This window comes from Homo sapiens, chromosome 11, assembly GCF_000001405.40.
Source record: "Homo sapiens chromosome 11, GRCh38.p14 Primary Assembly".
Classification (NCBI taxonomy): Eukaryota; Metazoa; Chordata; class Mammalia; order Primates; family Hominidae; genus Homo; species Homo sapiens.
Genome location: NC_000011.10, coordinates 124,752,480 through 124,772,395, shown reverse-complemented (window position 1 = coordinate 124,772,395; position 19,916 = coordinate 124,752,480). Strand labels below are relative to the sequence as shown.

Sequence of the window (19,916 nt, the reverse complement as noted above, 5' to 3'; positions counted from 1 at the left end):
GAGAATTTTGTATAGAAGAAATAAATGTGTTACAGGAAAACAGATGTGTTTTTGGTATTTGCCTGTGTGTGGATGTGGACATCTGGATGTTTAATTAAGGCACAAAGATGAGTCACAGGAACCTGAGTTTATCTGAGGTTAGGTGAAATGATAGGCGGACCAGAGGGACACCTGAAGTATTTTGGGAATCAAAAAGAAAGCTCTTAGATGACCTATTATACATTTGGAGAAGAAAGCAGTTGCTAGAGGAAAGACTAAGAAAGTCCAGGGACAGAGTCCTCCCTGGTCCATACAATTTGATCTTCCCCGAGTTTAGCATTATCTTTTGTGCAAGGACATCATAGTTCTTGGAATTACCAGTGACATCATATTTGTGGTTCTTTTTAATAGCTTTAAGTGAGTCCCTGATTAAATACAATTACTGAGGAGAATATACTGACCGAAAATTTATGGGGAAAGTAAGGAACGCCATTCATTTTTTTTACCTGTTAACCTTGGAGCATTGATAGCACCCACTTATTCTTGAGTGCTTCATCCCACACATGTGATCTTGATGTCTGAGAGATGGTAGAGAAGAGGCAAAAAGGGCTGTGATAGGTAACAGGCAGCACAACAAGAAAACATTAGTTGTTTTTTGTTTTGTTTGTTTGTTTGAGACAGAGTCTTACTCCATCACCCAGGCTGGAGCGCAGTGGTGCAATCTTGGCTCACTGTGAGCACCTGTAATTCCAGCCCGAGTAGGTGGGACTACAGGCGCGTCACCATGCCTGGCTAATTTTCGTATTTTTAGTAGAGATGGGGTTTTGCCGTGTTGGCCAGGTTGATCTCGAACTCCTGACCTCAAGTAATCCACCTGTCTAGGCCTCCCAAAGTGTTGGGATTACAGGCGTGAGCCACAGTGTCCGGCCACATTAGTTGTTTTTATTCAGCAAGACACCACTACCACCTCCCCTTTGTAAATGCTCATTTCTTTTTCAGAGTCTCTCTTTGGAATCAAAGAATTCCCATTGTCATCTGATTCCATGTCTGGAAAGAGGGTGAGAGTTCAGGGATGAGGAGTTTTTCCCCCAAATTGTAGCCATTATTTCATTCCTCAAAAAAGAAGCTAATCGCCCACATCAGTAAGTTTAAGGCCATTTCTTATTGGGAAGTAGTTGTCTTTTAGGAGTGTGACATCAAAGTGTACCAAAGGAAGGGAAACTGATTAATGTTGTAAAAAGTAAGTTGGGCGTGGTGACTCATGCTCACGCCTTTAATCCCAGCACTTTGGGAGGCCAAGGTGGGTGGATCGCTTGAGGTCAGGAGTTTGAGAGCAGCCTGTCCAACATGGTGAAACCCTGTCTCTACTAAAAATACAAAAATTAGGCTGGGTGCAGTGGCTCATGCCGGTAATTGCAGCACTTTGGGATGCCAGTGCAGGCAGATCACGAGGTCAGGAGTTCAAGCCCAGCCTGGCCAACATAGTGAAACCCTGTCTCTACTAAAAATACAAAAAATTAGCCAGGGATGGTAGCGGGTGCCTGTAATCCCAGCTACTTGGGAGGCTGAGGCAAGAGAATTGCTTGAACCCAGGACACGCAGGTGCAAGACTCTGTCTCAAAAAAAAAAAAAAAAACCAAAAAATTAGCTGGGCGTGGTGGCACACACCTGTAATCCCAGCTACTCGGGAGGCTGAGGCACAAGAATTGCTTGAACCCAAAAGGCAAAGGTTGCAGTGAGCCGAGATGGTGCCACTGCACTCCAGCCTGGATAACAGAGTAAGACTCTGTCTCGAAAAAAAAATGTGAGTTATTACAAGGCAAAGCGCGGTGGCTCATGTCTGTAATCCCAGCATCCTGGGCGGCCAAGGCGGGAGGATTGCTTGAGCCCAGGAATTAAAAACCAGTCTGGGCAACATAGCTAGACTCTCATCTCCACAAAAATTTTTAAAATTCACTGGGTATAGTGGCATATGCCTGTAGTCCCAGCTACTCAGAAGGCTGAGGTGGGGGGTTACTTGAGTCTGGGAGGTCAAAGCTCCAGTGAGTCATGCATTCCAGCCTGGGTGACAGAGCAAGATCCTGTCTCCAAAAAAAAAAAAACAAACAAACAAAAAAAAAGAGTTATTACAAATGTATACCTTCAAACCTTTATTCTCCAAAAAAGTCACTGGCTTTTTCATTAAAGTGTCCTATCTCTTCCTTATAATCATTCAGGACCTTCAAGGGAGGCCCAGTTGGTATAACTAGGAATGAACTCAAATTTTATGGATTTCATGTCACCAATCTCAAACCACTTAAACTTTTCTGGTGATTGGAACTTCAAAAACCAGGAAATCTAACAGACAGTTCTCAGGAATTGTTTAAATAACTGAGTCTAGTTTTCATTGTGCTCCAGAGCTTTGAAATGCTGGTTTGAATCTTGAGCCCAAATCAGCTTCAGGCTCATATCAGCAGGGCAGGAAACTGACAGACTCTGAGGAAATATCCAGCCTGTGCTGCCTCTCCTCCAGGTTTTAGCTCTCAGGGTGAGAGATTCTGAACAAGATCTGGGTAGGCCATTTATTTTCCAGTGCAAGAGTTTATTTAAAATGGTTCTTTGCAGGGTCTGACTATAGCATTAGTGCCATGACAATGCTGAAAAAAATAACGTGATTTGGGCATGGGATTTCTTTTTCTCTGTAGGTATAGGTGGGATTAGCTGAACCTGGCTAATCCCCTAGTCTGCTCATTTATTCAACACACGTTTCTCAAGTGCCTACTATATGTCAGGCATTGGGATACTTCATTGAGCATAATAGACAAAAATCTCTGCTCTCCATCCCAACTCCTTAGCATAGTCCTCTGTAAGATCAATAAAACATTTCAAAGGAGGGCAGGGAAAGATGGTAGCTATGAAAGATAATTTTCCTTTAAAGCATCGACCTATGCAGAAATATGGTCTATGTCTTAGCCTCATAAGCACCACAATCAGACATCATAAAATTGACCAAGTGCTTTTGTCTCCTCTGAGAAGAGGAATAATTCCCTGAGAAGGTAGTGATTTCATCTAGATAGCCACTCTCATACTTGAAAGCTTTCAAGACAAACTAAAGGATAGAGGGTAAATTCAGGGCAGTCTTAGCTCCAAGAAGCAGCTGATAACAAAATATTAATTCTCTGCCATCTTGCAAAGAAAGTCAAGGAGAGCGAGAGGACAGACTGAGAATGGCCACGTGAAGCCTCGCCAGAATGTTCCCAAAGCTCCTCCCCTAGAAGGTATGAGAACGTAGCAGGAAAAGTCTCAAGGATCAAGCTCCTTCCAGAGCCCGTTTTCAAGAAGCTGTTAGCACGCACACCCCCTTTCTTGCCTGTGTATGATTGTATGTAAGTGTGGTAGTTGAGTGTTTTTATAGGTTAAACCCGTAATTGATGTGGAGGGTAGTAGTTTGTTGCCAAGTTAATATTTAACGAACCAATCTTCCAGTATCAAAGTTTTGCTGTACTTGAGAAGCAAACTTTATATAGCTTCATATATATACAAATTACATGATTTAAGCAGCCCGTGAAATAAAAATTCCAGCATTTTCTGTCTTCTTCTGTTAAGTATATGAGTCAAAATTGAAATAATTCCTATATTTTTGCTTCCCTTTATAAAGGGTTTTCTAGAACAGTCTCAATTTATTATCTTGAATGTTGCTCTCTTGAAATCTAAGCCTAATGTGAGCCTTTTCCATCTGAATTCCCAGATCTTAATTCTGTGCTAACCTGACTTCTATTAATTTTGGGATTAGTAATGAATTTCAGACAAATAGAAAATGTCATTTTAAAAAGGTCATTAGCCATAATCAGTTGTATATTTTCCCACAGCACACACAAAGCCCATTATTGGACTTTCTGAATTTCCAGGTTAGAAATTAAGCTGTTAATTATTTTAAGTGACGCCAGATACTTTTCTAAATACAGCATTTTTCACCTTATTTTGGTAGGTAGGTAGGTCTGAAGGCCATCATAGACATAATAGCCACTTTAAAATATTATGATCCATAGATTTCTGAAATCCTAGAGTCTAAGGTATTGATTCTGATTATACAGTGAGGCTGTAGAAGTCATGGAAAGCAGTTTATCATTAATTCTTAGAAACTTGCTAGGGGTGTGTTTCTTTTCATTTTAATAGGTTGATTGTCTAGACTTACACTGCCCAGTACAGTAGCTGCTAGTCACATGTGGCTATTTAAATGTAATTTTAAACTAAATATAATTAAAAATGTAATACCTCAGCCACATTTCATGTTCTAGTGGCCACCATATTGGGCAGCAGATACAGAACATTTCCATCATCACAGAAAGTTCTATCTGACACCGCTGTTCTAGATACTTAGGGAATTTGACTTTTATTTGTCTTTCCAGGAAGAGAGACATCATGCAGAATATTGTACAGATTTTGGAATCGGTACAGTTGAAATGGGAACTTTTTCAGAGCTGGACAGACTTTTCAAGGCTCCATCTTTCTAATAAACTGGCCATTTTTGGAATTGGTTATAACACCCGTTGGAAAGAGGATATCCGTTACCATTATGCTGAGATCAGCTCCCAGGTGCCCCTTGGCAAGCGACTTCGGGAGTACTTCAACTCTGAGAAGCCTGAAGGACGGATCATTATGACCCGAGTGCAGAAAATGAACTGGAAAAATGTTTACTACAAATTTTTAGAGATCACTATTAGCGAAGCTAGGTGCTTGGAGCTGCACATGGAAATTGACTGGATACCCATTGCCCACTCCAAACCAACTGGTGGGAATGTTGTTCAATATTTATTGCCTGGGGGTATTCCTAAAAGCCCAGGCCTTTATGCCATTGGCTATGAAGAATGTATTGAGAGGCCCCTCTCACCACACATGGAGCAAAGTTCCCTGGACCCAGGAAAAGAGGGCCGGGTTGACCTGGAAACCCTTTCAGCACAAGCCTCATTACAGGTGGAAATAGAACCCACCCGAATTATCTATTGCTACCTCGGGATTGCTGAGGTCAGGACTCTACAGCAGTGCTTATTTTTACATTTCCAAGCGAATACCAAAACCTTCAGCAAAGATTGGGTTGGTATTAACGGGTTTTTGTCTCAGAACTGTATTGTGGATCCCGGAGTTTCCCCCAAATCCATCTACATCAAATTTGTAGAAGTAGAGAGGGATTTTCTTTCCGCAGGCTCTTTAGTTGAGTGCCTGGAAAAAGCCATTGGATACCCCTTAAAATTTAACAACTGAATGTCATCCTTCATAAGGATTTGGGCTCTTAGCTCCTTCTTCTCTACTCACTTCCCATTACCCGGACCACCCCTCATCCAGATGCCGCCGTCAGACTCTTCATGGAAACCCTTTCTTCAATTGGGCCAGTACGACTTCTAAGGAATCATAGTAGACTTGGGCCAGAAAAAACAGACCTCACCTGAAAATGCTCATTTTGAGCAAGCAAGATATATAGCGAACTTGCATGGTGGGTCAGCTATTTCTTTTTTAAAAACAGAAAAACAATTTTTAAATGGATTTTAGAGCCCTAATATAAACAAATGTAGGTACATTCCATATTGGACAAAACTTATACTTTGAGTTTCATATGAAATTGAAAAATTGTATTTTTTTCACAATGTTTCATTTTTACACATCTCTATGTCTCTATATAAGTAATATTTACAACCCTGAATAAATAAGCAATAGATAATGGCAAGTTAAATCTTGATTCACAGTTAAAAAGACTTTTTCAATATCACCCTTAGCTACTATTGTATATAATTTAGATTTTCATTTTTTTCACCAGCCAAGTGTTTTGCTATTTCCAATCAGTATTGCTTGCAAAGACCTTTGTTTCTGTGATGTACCAACTTTACAGTTGTGTTGCCATTTAAACCTTTTTTTAAAAAAAAAAAATTAAAGTAATTCCTGGCCCCTTGGCGTACTAGTTGAGCTTTTTGTAGCAGAGTGTGGCTGCACTGGCAGTGGGGGCTGCGCTCTGACTTGACTGCTAAGAATGAAGAGAACAAACAGAGCAGGGTATCTTCACATCCTTTCATTCTCTATACCTCACTGACCAATGTCATTATTTACTGTCAGAGTACCAAAGGTCACTGAACATCTCATTTTGTAATTCTTTGAAAAATGACTAAAAATGACTAGGATAATCCTTTTGACCCTAAGTACATCAATTTGTAAGAGACTCATTCCTCATCTTTTACACTCAGTACTCAGGGGCAGCTCTCAAGGAGTACAACTGGAAAACTGATGTAATCTTGCTATCTCTCAAAAGGAAGGAAGATCCAGTAGAAATTTTTTTTTTTTTTTTTTTTTTAAGACAGGGTCTTGCTCTGTCACCCAGGCTGGAGTGCAGTAGTACAATCATAGCTCACTGCAGTCTCGAACTCCTGGGCTCAAGTAATCCTCCTGCCTCAAAGCTTCCTGAGCAGCTGAAACTACAGGCTCAAGTGCCACCACGCCAGCAATGTTTTTCACTTTTTTTTTTCTTTTTTTGGTAGAGACATGGATGGTGCTATGTTTCCACCGAGCTGGTCTCAAACTCTTGTCCTCAAGCAATCCTCCCACCTTGGCTTCCCAAAGTGCCGAGATTACAGGTGTGAGCCACTGGGGCCAGCCCAAAAGTATTCTTTTAGGAGAGGGAATTGAGAAGTATGAGTCCAGTAGGAAGGTAACTGTCATGTTTAGATCTTTCAGAGATTTCTAATGGGCCAACCACCACTCCACTTACAGGTTCGTACTCTTGGCTCAGAGTCGCTTACTAATAGAGTAGTCAAGGATCACTTTGGTCTCATGGCAGGAATTTGTTAGATTGGTTATTTATCTTTATGATTTCCCAGCATCTCAGGTGCTCTACTTTAAGTGAGCCGCAAATCCAGGTAAGAACTCTCGTTCTTCTCATTTTTCTGTACTACTGAAGATATAGTTACATATTAACAAAAAGTGTTCTTTTCCTGCAGCCTGAATGTCTCAAATCAGTGATTTTCTCATTCTGATGCCTGTTGGTTGATTGATGCTTATTTATTTTTGTAATAACTAGAGAGCTTATAATCAGTGAGATGGCTTTTATTTCTGTTATTTGAGTCTGGGGTTATGGAGTTGGGTACTAGTTCAGGGAGGATATAAATAAAATGAGAATGTTTTGAGTGTAGCACCTGTTCTCCCCAGGCAGCATCTATAGTCAGAGGCCTGAGGAAATCCTCTTGAGTTTGCTCTTCTTTGGAACTTAGAATTCTGATCCTAATGGCTGAGGCAGTCTTGACCATCTTTTAGCCATAATCCCATAGTATTCATTGCTAAATGCTGTAGGAAGAAGGATTATTACCAGGAATTCTTCATGGCATCTCTAAAACGTTGCCACTGACGAGTCCCAAAACTAACATTATGCTCCATGCATTTTTTTTCTGCATCTTCCCATTGTTATTAGTTGCTCAGCTGGAGCAGAACATTTGGGGAACATTTCGTGAGGATGTTTTAGACCTACCAAACATTACCGAGAATGGGACATTGCTAGACCCACTATGAGCAGCATGGAGAAGATAGCAAAGGCTGGATCCAATAGATGTTTTCATCATTTGCCTTGGGATGGGTGGGGGTAGAGGACAAAGATGAGCATTGGGAAATGGAGGTTTACCAAGAAAGTAGCTTGCTGATACTGGATCTCCAGTCTCTTTGGCCAGAACAGTCTAGAAAAGAAGATAGCAGGATGTCAGATAACTATGAGCACTGCCGAAAATAAGAAATGGAATATTTAGACCTTAATGAAGCCTTATAACTGATTCAAGGGGGACAGAGAAAGTATATTCAAATGTAAAGGTAAATATTAGGAATTACTTTCGGAATCTAACATGAGATGTGATTGGAAGAAACACTAATGACCTGCAAGTCTCTAACATATGAAACTATGAACTAGCTCTTGCACACGTTTATGTAAGCAGTTCCCAGGTCGCACATAGATCATCTGTGTCAGCATTCATGATTTACACCAGGGTGGAGAGCAGTCCACCCTAAAATGCATCTTGGTGAAAACTTTCACAAAGTAATGGAGCTGCTCTGCTAACTTCTACGACTTGACTGCCCTCAGGGTCAGAAGAAAGAAATAGCTGAAATAGGAGACAGGAGACAGTGAGGACAATTCTTTACGGTCAAAGAATCTTGAAGAGACTGCCCCTGTGTCACATGGAGACATTCACTGACTACAAATCATTGGTTGCAGCTTTACTTCCCATGTCACAAGTCATTTGGGATCTGAATTCTGAAGGAAAAGTTAGCTACAGGGAATGAATGTTGAGGCTACACCTTATGTAGCACTTGATCAGGATAAGCACAGCCTGTGTGATTAGATACTTGGTGTTTCTGGGTTAGAACCAAAAGACTTTGTACTTCCTCTCTTGGAAGGAGTTACTTATTTGGGGTGACTTGTCTGGAAACAAAGGAGGGGTGTTTACAAGAGATGGTTTGCAATGCAGACTAAAGCCAAGAAAAATTTGAGTGTGATGGAATAGGAAAACCAAACCAACAGCCCCCAACCCCACCACACAATCTGCTTGGCCAAGTCCAAGTTTGTAGCTCCCTACACAAGAGTGTGAGACTGGCAGGTATCTCTTCCTGTTGTCTGTGCCTCCACTGAGCTGCCAAGTACTAGATTCTAGGGTTTGCATGAGCAGTTTTGTGTTTGCATAGGCATTTCTCAAAGCCACTGCATGGCAGGTATTTGAAGAGGAGCCAGGCAGGTCACACTAGAAAGAAGCAGCTGAGAGGGCATATGGGGCACTGTATAGAAAAAGATCTTGTGTGAAGTGTGGGCCCAGGGACTACACTCTGTTAAAACAGCAAAACTATGTGCAGTAAATGGAATCCCGCAGGCCTGGCTGCTTTTCTTCCCAGACAGCTCTGCCCGCAGAGCGGGCAGCGTCAGGAATTCGTTGTTATGCTTTCTTCCCTCACTGACCTTTGCTGGGTGGTTGAGCTGTGCTGGGATGTTTGAAGCATTTTTTTTTTTTTTTTTTTTTTTTTTTTTTGGCTGTTGGACAGAAAAGCAAGAACAGGTGCGTGCCTTTCTGTAAGGGAGCGGCGGCCGCCAGAGGGCGCAGAGGTGCCTTTTGACCGAATGGCGCGGGAAGGGGGGCGTAAAATTCAATTCACAGCGACCAAGATCTAGTCTCGGGAATTAAAGGATCAGAGCGCGCCTGAGCCTTTCGCTGCGGGGATGGGAGGCACTGAAGATTTGGGGGATAAAGAAGAAACGGAGGGACTGTCCTGTCTTCCTTCCCGCAGCCGCCCCTCCTCCCCAGTCAGCATCAGGCCCGTACGCCGCTCATTTCAGGGGCTAAGCTGGGAGCAGCACGCACGTTGCCTCAGTTTCCTGCTCAGCTCCCGGGACTACCTTGTGCCAACCTTCCCTGCTCGGAGTATGAGGCACAGGCCGGGGTAATCCTCCAGCCTGGGCTGGGGTCTGCTGAACTCGCGGAGCGCTTTTTCCTGCCCGCGGGTGAAGATTCCCCGCTGGCGCGTCCCGGGGCGCCCTGGGCTCCCGCGCGACCTCTGCCGTCGCCCTCGCTGCCGCGCTCCGGTGGCCGCGCAGCCCCCGCCTCCAGGAAAGCCACAGATTCCCGCTGTGCCAGGGAGCCCGCGCGGCCGGCGCTCCGGCCTCTCCCTGCAGCTGGAAAACGCTGCTCCCCTCTTCCTCCTTCAGGAAGACCGCCCTGATTGGGCCGGGGATGCGGCACCCCCAAGTTTGGAGCCAGAGCCCAGGAGCGTTTACATGTCAGGTGTTACGGGTGGTTCTGACTTCGGATAGTCCCCAAATTTCCCACCCTTCCTGGTCACCCTTCCTATCCCACCCCGGCGGAAGGGAAGGTTACGGCTCAGGATAGTTCTGGAGCCTCCTCTTCCCCCTCTACTCGTACCTGGCTGGCTCGTGGGGCATCAGAGCTTACCTCACCCCTCCCTGCGTCCAGACCTGGAGGAGGCCGCAGGGTCCCGCCGTCCGCGCGCTGGGGGCGCCCCCGGGCGGCGGACCCCGCGCGCCCCGCCCGGGAGGACGGCGACCTCTCCGCCCCCTCGAATGCCCCGCCCCGCTGTCGCCGTCGGTCCCCACCCCGCCACCGGCACACAGGCGCGCAGACTTGGGCTGGAGCCGCCCTGGGTGTCAGCGGCTCGGCTCCCGCGCACGCTCCGGCCGTCGCGCAGCCTCGGCACCTGCAGGTCCGTGCGTCCCGCGGCTGGCGCCCCTGACTCCGTCCCGGCCAGGGAGGGCCATGATTTCCCTCCCGGGGCCCCTGGTGACCAACTTGCTGCGGTTTTTGTTCCTGGGGCTGAGTGCCCTCGGTGAGTGAAACCCGGACCTGGAGGGGACTTGGGATGCGGGATGGGGTGAGTTCGACCCTGAGGGAGAACTTTGGCCACTGCTGCGGAACTGGGTCCCACGACTCGCCCTCCTCCCCTGACCTCCTAATCCCACTCCAGGGCATCACTGGCTGGCGCTGACTTCTCGCTTTGTCGGGGACAGCCCCCAGTTTGGGTGTGGGGGCGGATGGCGGGGGGAGGTAAGGGCATCTCTCGGAAGACCTGGATACCTCTGGGGTGAGTTATCGGAACCATTCCTCACCCTGTCCACTCCCCACCCCCCACCCAGCAGAGCCGGATGAGCTGAGCCGCTAGATGAGACACTGGCTAAAGAGCTTAAGGACTTAACTCTAGCCCCCTCTCATCCCCGACCCCACATACAAGCTGATGAGGAAGATCCCCCGGGGAAATACCCCTGGTCCCCAGGCTTGACACACGCACTTCGTGTCAATTCCCCAGCGCAGATGCTCTCTCTTGCCCCCTCCTGCTTCCTGCCCTGGGAATCAAGGGAGGTGCCCCAAAAGGACGACCGTGAGGTCATTTGGGACACAGGAAATGGGGGAGGGGTTCAAACGCACAGAGAAACAGAATTGTGACCACCCCACCCCCCCAAGGCCCACCACCCTTATTGGTTTCCAGAGCCAAAGGGAAGAGGGGAAATTGGGAGGAGGGTGGCCAAGGGTCAGAGAGGAAGGGAACCTCCTTGGAGCAAGTGTTTGGGAAGTGTTGTAGGCCTCCAGGGGCGCTGGCTTCAGCTGAAGCTGGGGTGGCTCAGAACTCCATCTGGGAGAGGACCCGGCAGGACTAGGCCCTTTTAAACTATTTCACTTGCTGTCCCTCAGCTTTCTTGCCATCTCCCTTCAAGGATCTCGAATGGGAGTGAAGGGTGGGTTTAGCTATATTGACTTTAACTCATTTCTCAGGTTGGAGGATGTCAGGACAAGTAAGGCCTGGGAAGCTGTAGAGTGAAATTCTACAATGATGGGGACAGAGATGAGGATCACCAGTGTCCCCTTTAGCATGTTCTGTGCCCCACAGGTGTCGGGGCATGCAATATTATAGTCCTTGGACAAAATGAGTCTCAAGTACAGCCCCCCAGGCCACACCAAGGCCACAAGTAGCCTTCTGTCCCTCTGGGCTTGGTGGGCCTGCTCCAGGATCCCTCAGACTTCTCATCCCGCCTTTCCCAACTTCAACTTCAGCTCTGTTCCTTCTGCATTCCACCCCAACTCTATCCCCCTTCCTTGTGGGGGGTGGGGGCTGGGGGAATCTCTGAAGCCAGGGAGGACAGTTCAAGTTGACTGCCTGAGTGTCCCAGGCTTCACCTGCTGCTCATCTGCAACCCTTTGTCCTACCCCAGCTTTGAGCCTCAGTTTGTCAGACTGAAGACCTGGACTCAAAAGTTCCAATCGGTCCCCCTGGGGGGTTGCCCAGTTCCCGCCAGCCACTCGAGGGTTAAATGGCACTGGTGACCCCGGTGCAACGTGCAGGCGCCCGGCTCCGCTCTTCTGGGCTCTGGAGGAGGCTCTCCGGCTCAGTAGGCTCCTCGGCGGCTCAGTGCTGCTGCCCCTGGGGCGTGAGAAGCCCGCGGGGGGAGTTTCTCAGAGAAAGAGGGAGACTAAAAATAGCCCCGGGGAGCGGGCCCATTTCGCTCTCCTTCGGCCCCTGCCGGCTCCCTCACTCTGGCCTCGGAGAGGGCTGTGGGCCGGAAGGGTCCCTTTCTTGGGCTGTCCCAGTGTCCTTCGATCAGACCCAACCAGACTCCTTTTCTCTCCCAGTGGCTCCGTGGACCCTGGGACCGAAAAAAACGGACCAGTTGGTGACTTCCGAGCCAGCAGACACCCAGGAGGGAGAGCAGAAAAGCCTCAGGCCCTCTTCTGTTCCTAGTTTCTGACAGGGCGAAGGGCAAGGAGCATGTGCCCAGACCCCAGTGTGTCCGTTACTATCTCTTTTAACTCTCCTCTACCTTCTGGAAAGTGGAATTATAAATGTGGGACCTGGGGAGGTCGCTGGTGGTCCACAAGGTGAAGGAAGGGCGCGCCCCTTCTGGGCCCCAGGCAGTTTCCCGGCGGAAACCCTTTCTGGCCGCCGGGTGTGTGTCGTAGAAAGGCTGGGGGAGAGCCGGCAGCACCTGCAGGCTCCAGGCGTGCCCGGCCTCAGCGGAATGGCCAGCGGGCCGGGTCCCCAGGGGGCGTCCAGCTCCTTGAGGCGGGGATTGTTTCCTCCCGTAGAGCCTCCGGTCTAGTGGCCCCCCCTTCATTGTCTTCTGCCTTATCACTGGGTACAAATTTCCTGCCCAGACCACAGAGATCCTCCAGGAAATGGGAAGGGGGATGCTGCGAAGGCCAAGTAACAGAGGTGGGGGTTCTGTACGGCGCAGCCGGGAAGCGGTGGGGGAGGCTTGCATCCTGGCCGGATCGGCTCCCAGCCCTTAGAGGCCTTCAGCCTGGCTCTCCTAGGGCGAGGGTGGAGAGCGGGGCCTGGCTGCGGCCTCTTCCCGCGGCGTTGGCCGCCTGCTCGCCACGCGGAGGTGGCGTCTTCCGCTCCGAGGCAGAGGGCCGAGGCCTGGAGGGAGTAGGGCCCGGGACTGGAGCGGCGATCATCCTCAGGCCTGGCCGTGTGCAAGCCCAAGGTTATTCCCCAAAGGGCTTACCAGTTGGCTGCTCTGTTGCCTCCCCGAAGGGCAAAGGATGAGTATTTCTGGACGCCGTGGTGCAAACGATGGCCCCCTCCTTGAAACCAACACCCCGGTCCACCCCCTGAGCGCCGGACACACTCAGGGGAGGCTTCATACTTGTCTAGAGACCGTCGTTCGCGCTGCCCTTAATTCCTTGCCACCCGAGAGTTCTCTGCCCAGATCGCCCGAACCCCAGAAGGGCTCCGAGGAGCTTTCTGGGTTTCAACCCTCCGTTTTCCGAGGGAAGCCCGCCTCTGAGATTGCGCGGGAGGGCGGGGAGCATCGCATTCACTGGGTCAGGCTTGGGCGCTGGGCTGCTCTGCTCTCTCCAGCTCCTGGCAAGCTCAGAAGGAGCCGCAGGGTTAATAGGTAACCAGACGGCCTCCCAAACCCCTCCGCCCTTTGAGAACTCGGGAGTGAGGGACCCTGGCGGCCCGGAGCAGCATCCCTACTCTCCCTCAGGAAAACTAGGGAAGCAAGTGGGCTACGTGGCGCGTACGACAGAAACAGTCGGTCCACCCTTTCTTCTCATATCTTCCCCTCCTCGCTGGAAATCTGCCCCCTCTCTTTGATGCTCAGAAATCTGCGCCTCTGGATACGAATAAATGCATATAAATGTGTCCCCATCCCCGCTACAACTGCAGAGGCTGGCGGTGGAGAGAAGTCGTGATGAAATGGGAAGCAGGACACTGAGCCAGTGGTCCCTGGGCACCCCTTGAGGCCTCCAGGGGCCGGACCCCGCAAGGTTCCTCTTTCCAGTTAAAGCGACTTTCCTCGCTCTCTGGTGAAGCCGCGTAGGGCAGGGTCCGCGGGCGGAGCTGGGAGCCGGTCCTGGGCACTCACGCCTCGCTCTTGTCTCCAGCGCCCCCCTCGCGGGCCCAGCTGCAACTGCACTTGCCCGCCAACCGGTTGCAGGCGGTGGAGGGAGGGGAAGTGGTGCTTCCAGCGTGGTACACCTTGCACGGGGAGGTGTCTTCATCCCAGCCATGGGAGGTGCCCTTTGTGATGTGGTTCTTCAAACAGAAAGAAAAGGAGGATCAGGTGAGGGAAGAACGCCTGTCAGCCAGCGGCAAGTTGCGCCCAGAGGGGGTTGTAAGCAAAGAGCTGGTAGCGGTGGGAGGGGTGGAGAGGGAATGGGGGCCGGGGAAGGAGTTTCAGGGAAAAGCAGAAGTCTTCACCAGTTCAGTTTTTGTTCTGATATTGGAGACTTCCCAAACAATTATCTTTTGCCGGCTTTCCCTAAAAATCCAGCACACAAAATACTGTAAAAGTGTGAGAGGCATTTTACTTGGTTATGAGGGAGGAGAGGAGGAGGGGAAGAATGGAAGTTGAGGACTGGGAAACGCTTAGGGGAAGTAACACACACGACTTATAAAAGTTAGCATATTTCTGGCCTGACTCAGTGACTCATACCTGTAATCCCAGCACTTTGGGAGGCCGAGGTGGGCACATCACTTGAGGCCAAGAGTTCGAGAGCAGCCTGGCCAATATGGTGAAACCCCCGTCTCTGCTAAAAACACAAAAATTAGTCGGACATGGTGGCACCCGCCTGTAATCCCAGCTACTTGGGAGGCTGAGGCAAGAGAATTGCTTGAATCCACAAGGTGGAGGTTGCAGTGAGCCAAAATCCAGCCACTGCACTTCAGCCTGGGCGACGGAGTAAGACTCTGTCTCAAAAAAAAAAAAAAAAAAAAAAGTTAGCATATTTCTGTTTTCACATTCTCTGCTTTGAATACTGTCAAGTCACAGGCCACTTCTCTTCCCAAATGATTCTCATCTGTCACCTTGCCCCCCTGTATACCACCTTGAGAGCCAAGGGGCCATCTCCTCCCACAATCTCCCACCCATCTGTTTTGACACCGGGCTTACATCCAAATACAGATTTACCCCAGAAGAGAATGAAACAATGTTCAGAACCCCTGAAAACTGTGTTCAAGGAAGTCAGCTGGATTTTTTTGAGACAGGGGTCTTACTCTTGTTGCCCAGGCTGGAATGCAATGGTGCAGTCTTCGCTCACTACAGCCTCTACCGCTCCTGCTCAAGTAATCCTTCCACCTCAGCCCCCTGAGTAGCTGGGACTACAAGCACACGCCACCATGCCAGGCTAATTTTTGTATTTTTTGTAGAGACTGTGTTTCACCGTATTGCCCAGGCTGGTCTTGAACTCTTGGACTCAAGCAATCCACCTGCCTCAGCCTCCCAAAGTGCTCACAGGCATGAGGCAACGTGCCCAGCCTCATTTGATACTTTTAAAATACATTTTTAATATTTTTTTCCTCCAAGATGCCTTCCCCATTGTGTAAGTTTCAGGTCTTACAAACCTGGATCCACCCCAGCAGTCTGAGTTGCATATATACATACCTCCTATTTACATGTCCCTCCTCCCACTATTATGTCACCTTTCTAAACACCGCAATTGGGAGATGAGACAATGCGCAGGAACGAAGAACTGTTCTGGTGAAGAGGACCCAGGGGCAGTGAGAGGGGGCTAGGGACAAAAGGTGAATGGGGAGCTGGTTCAGGTTAGAAGAATGGGTGCATGTGAGGGGCATTTGGAGAATGCGAGCTGGGGGAGGGAGAGTGGCTGAGCCTGTAGGCACAGTAGACACATGTAGTAATGACGGGGATGTGTTATGCCCCACACCAGGTGTTGTCCTACATCAATGGGGTCACAACAAGCAAACCTGGAGTATCCTTGGTCTACTCCATGCCCTCCCGGAACCTGTCCCTGCGGCTGGAGGGTCTCCAGGAGAAAGACTCTGGCCCCTACAGCTGCTCCGTGAATGTGCAAGACAAACAAGGCAAATCTAGGGGCCACAGCATCAAAACCTTAGAACTCAATGTACTGGGTGAGTGAGAAGCAGATTTCCGGACCCCTCCCCACCTGCACTGGGAGGTCTGGTGAGTCTCTCTCCTAAATGACAAAAGTTGGAGGAGGAACAAATGAAGCGACAGAAGGGTGCAGGGCAGAGGGAGAGGATCTGTGGGTCTCCTGGGTGTGGTTTTAATCTGTCTCCCCCTGCCCAGTTCCTCCAGCTCCTCCATCCTGCCGTCTCCAGGGTGTGCCCCATGTGGGGGCAAACGTGACCCTGAGCTGCCAGTCTCCAAGGAGTAAGCCCGCTGTCCAATACCAGTGGGATCGGCAGCTTCCATCCTTCCAGACTTTCTTTGCACCAGCATTAGGTGAGGACACTACTGGAAACAGTGGACACTGTGGCTGGGGAAGGGGAAAGATGAGAGGTACCACAGGGACTGGGGTGAAAAGGGGAGCCAAGGCTGACAAGCACTGGGGAGGAGGAGGAGGATGTGGGGAGGATGTGGGGCAGAGAAAGATGCCCTGCCAGGGGCAGGTATTGTGTTAGGTGCATTCACATGTGTATACTGTTATGAAACAGGCTCTACAGCTGGAGTGTCTGTGTTCAAATTCCAGCTCTTCTAGTGACTAGCTGTGTGACTCGGTGCCTTCTTTCCTGAATTTGTAAAATGCGGATTTTACACATATCAGCTTGAACTCATTAGTGTGACTTGAACACACCAGTTATAAAAAAAAATTTTAGGGATAACTGAAACATTTTTAATATGAAGTATTCGATGATTTTAGATAGTTACGTTATTAATTTCCTAGGCGTGGCAATGCTATTGTGGTCATATGGAACGACGTACTGCTTTTTTGGAGATTTATGCTGATGTATTTACTTTAAAATATCTAAGTAAAAGAAAGAAATCAAATAAATATGGCAAAAAGTTAGCAACTGTTGGATCTAGGTTGTGGGAATATGGATTTTCATTTTGCCTCTTTCTACTTTTCACATGACCATTTTTATAATAGTAGCTTTTTCTTTTTAAAAATACTACTTATTACCTCACAGGTTTGTTGGGAAATTGTGGTAAGTTCATACACATCAAGAATCTAGAGCAGTCTTTGGCACAGAGTTAGCAGCCAATAAACATTCACTGTTTTATTTATTTATTTATTTATTTTTATTTTATTATTATTATACTTTAAGTTTTAGGGTACATGTGCACAATGTGCAGGTTAGTTACATATGTATACATGTGCCATGCTGGTGTGCTGTACCCATTAACTCTTCATTTAGCATTAGCTATATCTCCTAATGCTATCCCTCCCCCCTAAACATTCACTGTTATAATGATTAGTCCATATAGTCCTTTCAACACCCTCAGGGAGGTCATATTGTCCCCATTTTACAGATGAAGAAATGGAGACCCTCAGATATCAACTAACTTGCTTAAAGTCAGTCACATGGCCTGTTCTGGAACCCACGTTTACCAGTTCCTACCCCAGTGTTCTTTCTCTCTCATCACACTGTCTTGCCGAAATAAAAGTAAAATGGTGTTTTGGTTTCTCTGTGCTTCACTTTCTCTGTGGCCTCCTGTCGGATATCCACTGGGGGCACTGACTGAGGAGTGACAATGGAGGTTATTGCACTAGTCAGTCTGCAGCTGGGAGCCAAGCCCAGCTGTCACACCTCTCCCCCCATCAGGGAATAGACAAGCCGTGACTCCCAGAGGGTCAAAGGGGACATTCCAGAGGAGGGACAAGATTTTTTTTTTTTTTTAATGGGAAAGAGGGTCCCTGGACTGATGGCTAAATTGTGTCCACAGATGTCATCCGTGGGTCTTTAAGCCTCACCAACCTTTCGTCTTCCATGGCTGGAGTCTATGTCTGCAAGGCCCACAATGAGGTGGGCACTGCCCAATGTAATGTGACGCTGGAAGTGAGCACAGGTCAGTGAGGGGTAAGTGTGGTTAAGAAGAGTGGTCAATGGTGGGGGAGGGGTTGCAAGTGGGGAGGAGGCCTGTCTGCTGAGGCCTGTCTCTGTAGCAGGGCACGGAGCTTCCCCTGATCAAATGTTTGTACAAATGGTTGGTCAGTGACTGGTCATTTCCTGCTCAACAGCCACCCCTCTTCTTGACAGGGAAAAAGAGGGAATGTGTATGGTGGCAGATGGGGTGGGGAGAGTGGGATTGGAGAGGGGTGAGAACCCCTCAGCTGGGTGTCCTCCTCTGACACGACGCCTTTTCCAGGGCCTGGAGCTGCAGTGGTTGCTGGAGCTGTTGTGGGTACCCTGGTTGGACTGGGGTTGCTGGCTGGGCTGGTCCTCTTGTACCACCGCCGGGGCAAGGCCCTGGAGGAGCCAGCCAATGATATCAAGTAAGTGTCCCTGGTGTCTGCTGCAGCGGGGGCTCTCCCAGCTCTCCTCACAGAGGCTGGGAATTCAGGCAGCTCTCATCTATTGGGATGGGGTCAGTGGCTGAAACATCATTCCTATGGGCAGGTTTTAAGGGAGAGGGAAAGGAGTACTGAAGTGTGCAGGCAGAGGTGGTATATAAGACCAAGCAGGTAGAAACTCTCTCCTCCTTCCCCCACCCACTTCTGACCTCTTGTTATTTCTTTGATGACTAGGGAGGATGCCATTGCTCCCCGGACCCTGCCCTGGCCCAAGAGCTCAGACACAATCTCCAAGAATGGGACCCTTTCCTCTGTCACCTCCGCACGAGCCCTCCGGCCACCCCATGGCCCTCCCAGGCCTGGTGCATTGACCCCCACGCCCAGTCTCTCCAGCCAGGCCCTGCCCTCACCAAGACTGCCCACGACAGATGGGGCCCACCCTCAACCAATATCCCCCATCCCTGGTGGGGTTTCTTCCTCTGGCTTGAGCCGCATGGGTGCTGTGCCTGTGATGGTGCCTGCCCAGAGTCAAGCTGGCTCTCTGGTATGATGACCCCACCACTCATTGGCTAAAGGATTTGGGGTCTCTCCTTCCTATAAGGGTCACCTCTAGCACAGAGGCCTGAGTCATGGGAAAGAGTCACACTCCTGACCCTTAGTACTCTGCCCCCACCTCTCTTTACTGTGGGAAAACCATCTCAGTAAGACCTAAGTGTCCAGGAGACAGAAGGAGAAGAGGAAGTGGATCTGGAATTGGGAGGAGCCTCCACCCACCCCTGACTCCTCCTTATGAAGCCAGCTGCTGAAATTAGCTACTCACCAAGAGTGAGGGGCAGAGACTTCCAGTCACTGAGTCTCCCAGGCCCCCTTGATCTGTACCCCACCCCTATCTAACACCACCCTTGGCTCCCACTCCAGCTCCCTGTATTGATATAACCTGTCAGGCTGGCTTGGTTAGGTTTTACTGGGGCAGAGGATAGGGAATCTCTTATTAAAACTAACATGAAATATGTGTTGTTTTCATTTGCAAATTTAAATAAAGATACATAATGTTTGTATGAGATAAGAAACAAGTTGCCTTTTCAAACTAAGAATTCTTGAAATTGAGCTTCAGGAGGATGCAAAGTGGACCCCTTCCCAAGCTGTGTACCCAGGAGGGCTTCCCCCCACAGGCTTAGAGCAGCTCTTCTAGTGTTTAGAAGGGTCCTTGTTTGTCACGTGGAGAAGGGGAGGAGACTCTAAGCTACTCTGAACAGCAGAGGGATGGAGTTGATACGCTTTCTGCTGGAGCTTGAGTGCTCCCGGCTAGGGGGTACGTGTACCTCATCTGCTTCCTCTTCAGGGACAGGGGAGAGGAAGCTCACGTGGGCTCCTCTCCCACACCACGGAATCCTTAACAAAACACTCCTTGCCCATCTGGAAGAGATCTCTGTTGTTACTGAGGGAGAGCTGGGCATAGTATGAGGTGCAGGTCTGTGTCCAAGTTCTGCCATGTTCTTTCCTACCAAGGGTGAGGTCTCCTTTAGGTCTCAGTTTCTCTGCCCCTAAAATGGAGTGGCTCTGGAAATGGAGAGATGCTCATTTCTACAGAGACTCCTACCTCAGTAAGTGGTGAAATGAAAAGCGCTGTGGACAGGAAGGGTCTGCGGCCTGGGGCTCACACTCACAGTGAGGCTCCGAGGTGGGGACTCCCCTTGCCAGCTCTGGGGTATCAGG

General features: G+C 49.0%; 2 protein-coding genes and 1 long non-coding RNA gene across 10 annotated transcripts in view, besides 8 other annotated features; 2 read left to right on the top strand and 1 right to left on the bottom strand.

Annotated features, from left to right (window-relative positions):
* Window positions 1-5,898, top strand: part of MSANTD2 (Myb/SANT DNA binding domain containing 2) — a 33,909-nt gene extending 28,011 nt beyond the window's left edge. For all 7 annotated transcript variants that reach the window (NM_001312919.2, NM_024631.4, NM_001312921.2 and 4 more), the window contains one exon: window positions 4,368-5,898. Coding sequence is in view for 6 of the 7 variants with exons in the window: in NM_024631.4 (NP_078907.2) it covers window positions 4,368-5,220 (853 nt within the window). In the remaining variant the exon portion in view is untranslated. The remainder of the gene's footprint in view (window positions 1-4,367) is intronic.
* Window positions 5,909-6,203: a silencer, noted in NCBI's record as "tiled region #2909; K562 Repressive non-DNase unmatched - State 23:Low". NCBI's record gives its function as "represses a minimal TATA promoter and a strong SV40 promoter by Sharpr-MPRA in K562 cells {active_cell/tissue: K562}" and the evidence as "EXISTENCE:reporter gene assay evidence [ECO:0000049][PMID:27701403]".
* On the bottom strand, window positions 6,471-13,262 carry ESAM-AS1 (ESAM antisense RNA 1). 2 transcript variants are annotated; one of them, NR_120577.1, is made up of 2 exons: window positions 12,983-13,262; window positions 6,471-7,667 (listed from the first exon to the last, which is right to left on the bottom strand). It is a non-coding gene; the product is annotated as an ESAM antisense RNA 1 (long non-coding RNA). The 2 variants fall into 2 exon arrangements; NR_120579.1 differs by lacking the exon at window positions 12,983-13,262 and adding an exon at window positions 9,921-9,965.
* Window positions 9,318-9,367: a silencer, noted in NCBI's record as "silent region_4029". NCBI's record gives its function as "represses an Ori minimal core promoter by ATAC-STARR-seq in GM12878 lymphoblastoid cells {active_cell/tissue: GM12878}" and the evidence as "EXISTENCE:reporter gene assay evidence [ECO:0000049][PMID:35858748]".
* Window positions 9,908-10,317: a silencer, noted in NCBI's record as "silent region_4028". NCBI's record gives its function as "represses an Ori minimal core promoter by ATAC-STARR-seq in GM12878 lymphoblastoid cells {active_cell/tissue: GM12878}" and the evidence as "EXISTENCE:reporter gene assay evidence [ECO:0000049][PMID:35858748]".
* Window positions 9,908-10,551: a biological region, named in NCBI's record as "H3K4me1 hESC enhancer GRCh37_chr11:124631741-124632244".
* Window positions 10,048-10,551: an enhancer, noted in NCBI's record as "H3K4me1 hESC enhancer chr11:124631741-124632244 (GRCh37/hg19 assembly coordinates)". NCBI's record gives its function as "activates a minimal SCP1, AML or CMV promoter by ChIP-STARR-seq in primed H9 embryonic stem cells {active_cell/tissue: H9 hESC(primed)}" and the evidence as "EXISTENCE:reporter gene assay evidence [ECO:0000049][PMID:30033119]".
* ESAM (endothelial cell adhesion molecule) lies at window positions 10,106-19,270 on the top strand. Its single transcript, NM_138961.3, has 7 exons — window positions 10,106-10,311; window positions 13,869-14,047; window positions 15,654-15,855; window positions 16,034-16,189; window positions 17,633-17,755; window positions 18,056-18,182; window positions 18,435-19,270. The coding sequence occupies exons 1-7, from the start codon at window positions 10,242-10,244 to the stop codon at window positions 18,748-18,750; spliced, it is 1,173 nt and encodes a 390-aa protein (NP_620411.2). The 5' UTR covers window positions 10,106-10,241; the 3' UTR covers window positions 18,751-19,270.
* Window positions 12,446-12,515: an enhancer, noted in NCBI's record as "active region_5691". NCBI's record gives its function as "activates an Ori minimal core promoter by ATAC-STARR-seq in GM12878 lymphoblastoid cells {active_cell/tissue: GM12878}" and the evidence as "EXISTENCE:reporter gene assay evidence [ECO:0000049][PMID:35858748]".
* Window positions 14,009-14,168: an enhancer, noted in NCBI's record as "active region_5690". NCBI's record gives its function as "activates an Ori minimal core promoter by ATAC-STARR-seq in GM12878 lymphoblastoid cells {active_cell/tissue: GM12878}" and the evidence as "EXISTENCE:reporter gene assay evidence [ECO:0000049][PMID:35858748]".
* Window positions 17,729-18,023: an enhancer, noted in NCBI's record as "tiled region #10895; HepG2 Activating DNase matched - State 8:EnhW". NCBI's record gives its function as "activates a minimal TATA promoter and a strong SV40 promoter by Sharpr-MPRA in HepG2 cells {active_cell/tissue: HepG2}" and the evidence as "EXISTENCE:reporter gene assay evidence [ECO:0000049][PMID:27701403]".
* Window positions 19,271-19,916: the final 646 nt, after the last annotated feature.

What these genes read in the sequence shown, in the direction of transcription:
- ESAM (NM_138961.3), top strand. Translation starts at nt 10,242, where the DNA reads ATGATTTCCCTCCCGGGGCCCCTGGTGACCAACTTGCTGCGGTTTTTG. An exon ending in GACGCTGGAAGTGAGCACAG is followed by an intron (nt 17,756 to 18,055) that starts GTCAGTGAGGGG and finishes CGCCTTTTCCAG; the next exon opens with GGCCTGGAGCTGCAGTGGTT. An exon ending in GAGCCAGCCAATGATATCAA is followed by an intron (nt 18,183 to 18,434) that starts GTAAGTGTCCCT and finishes TTTGATGACTAG; the next exon opens with GGAGGATGCCATTGCTCCCC.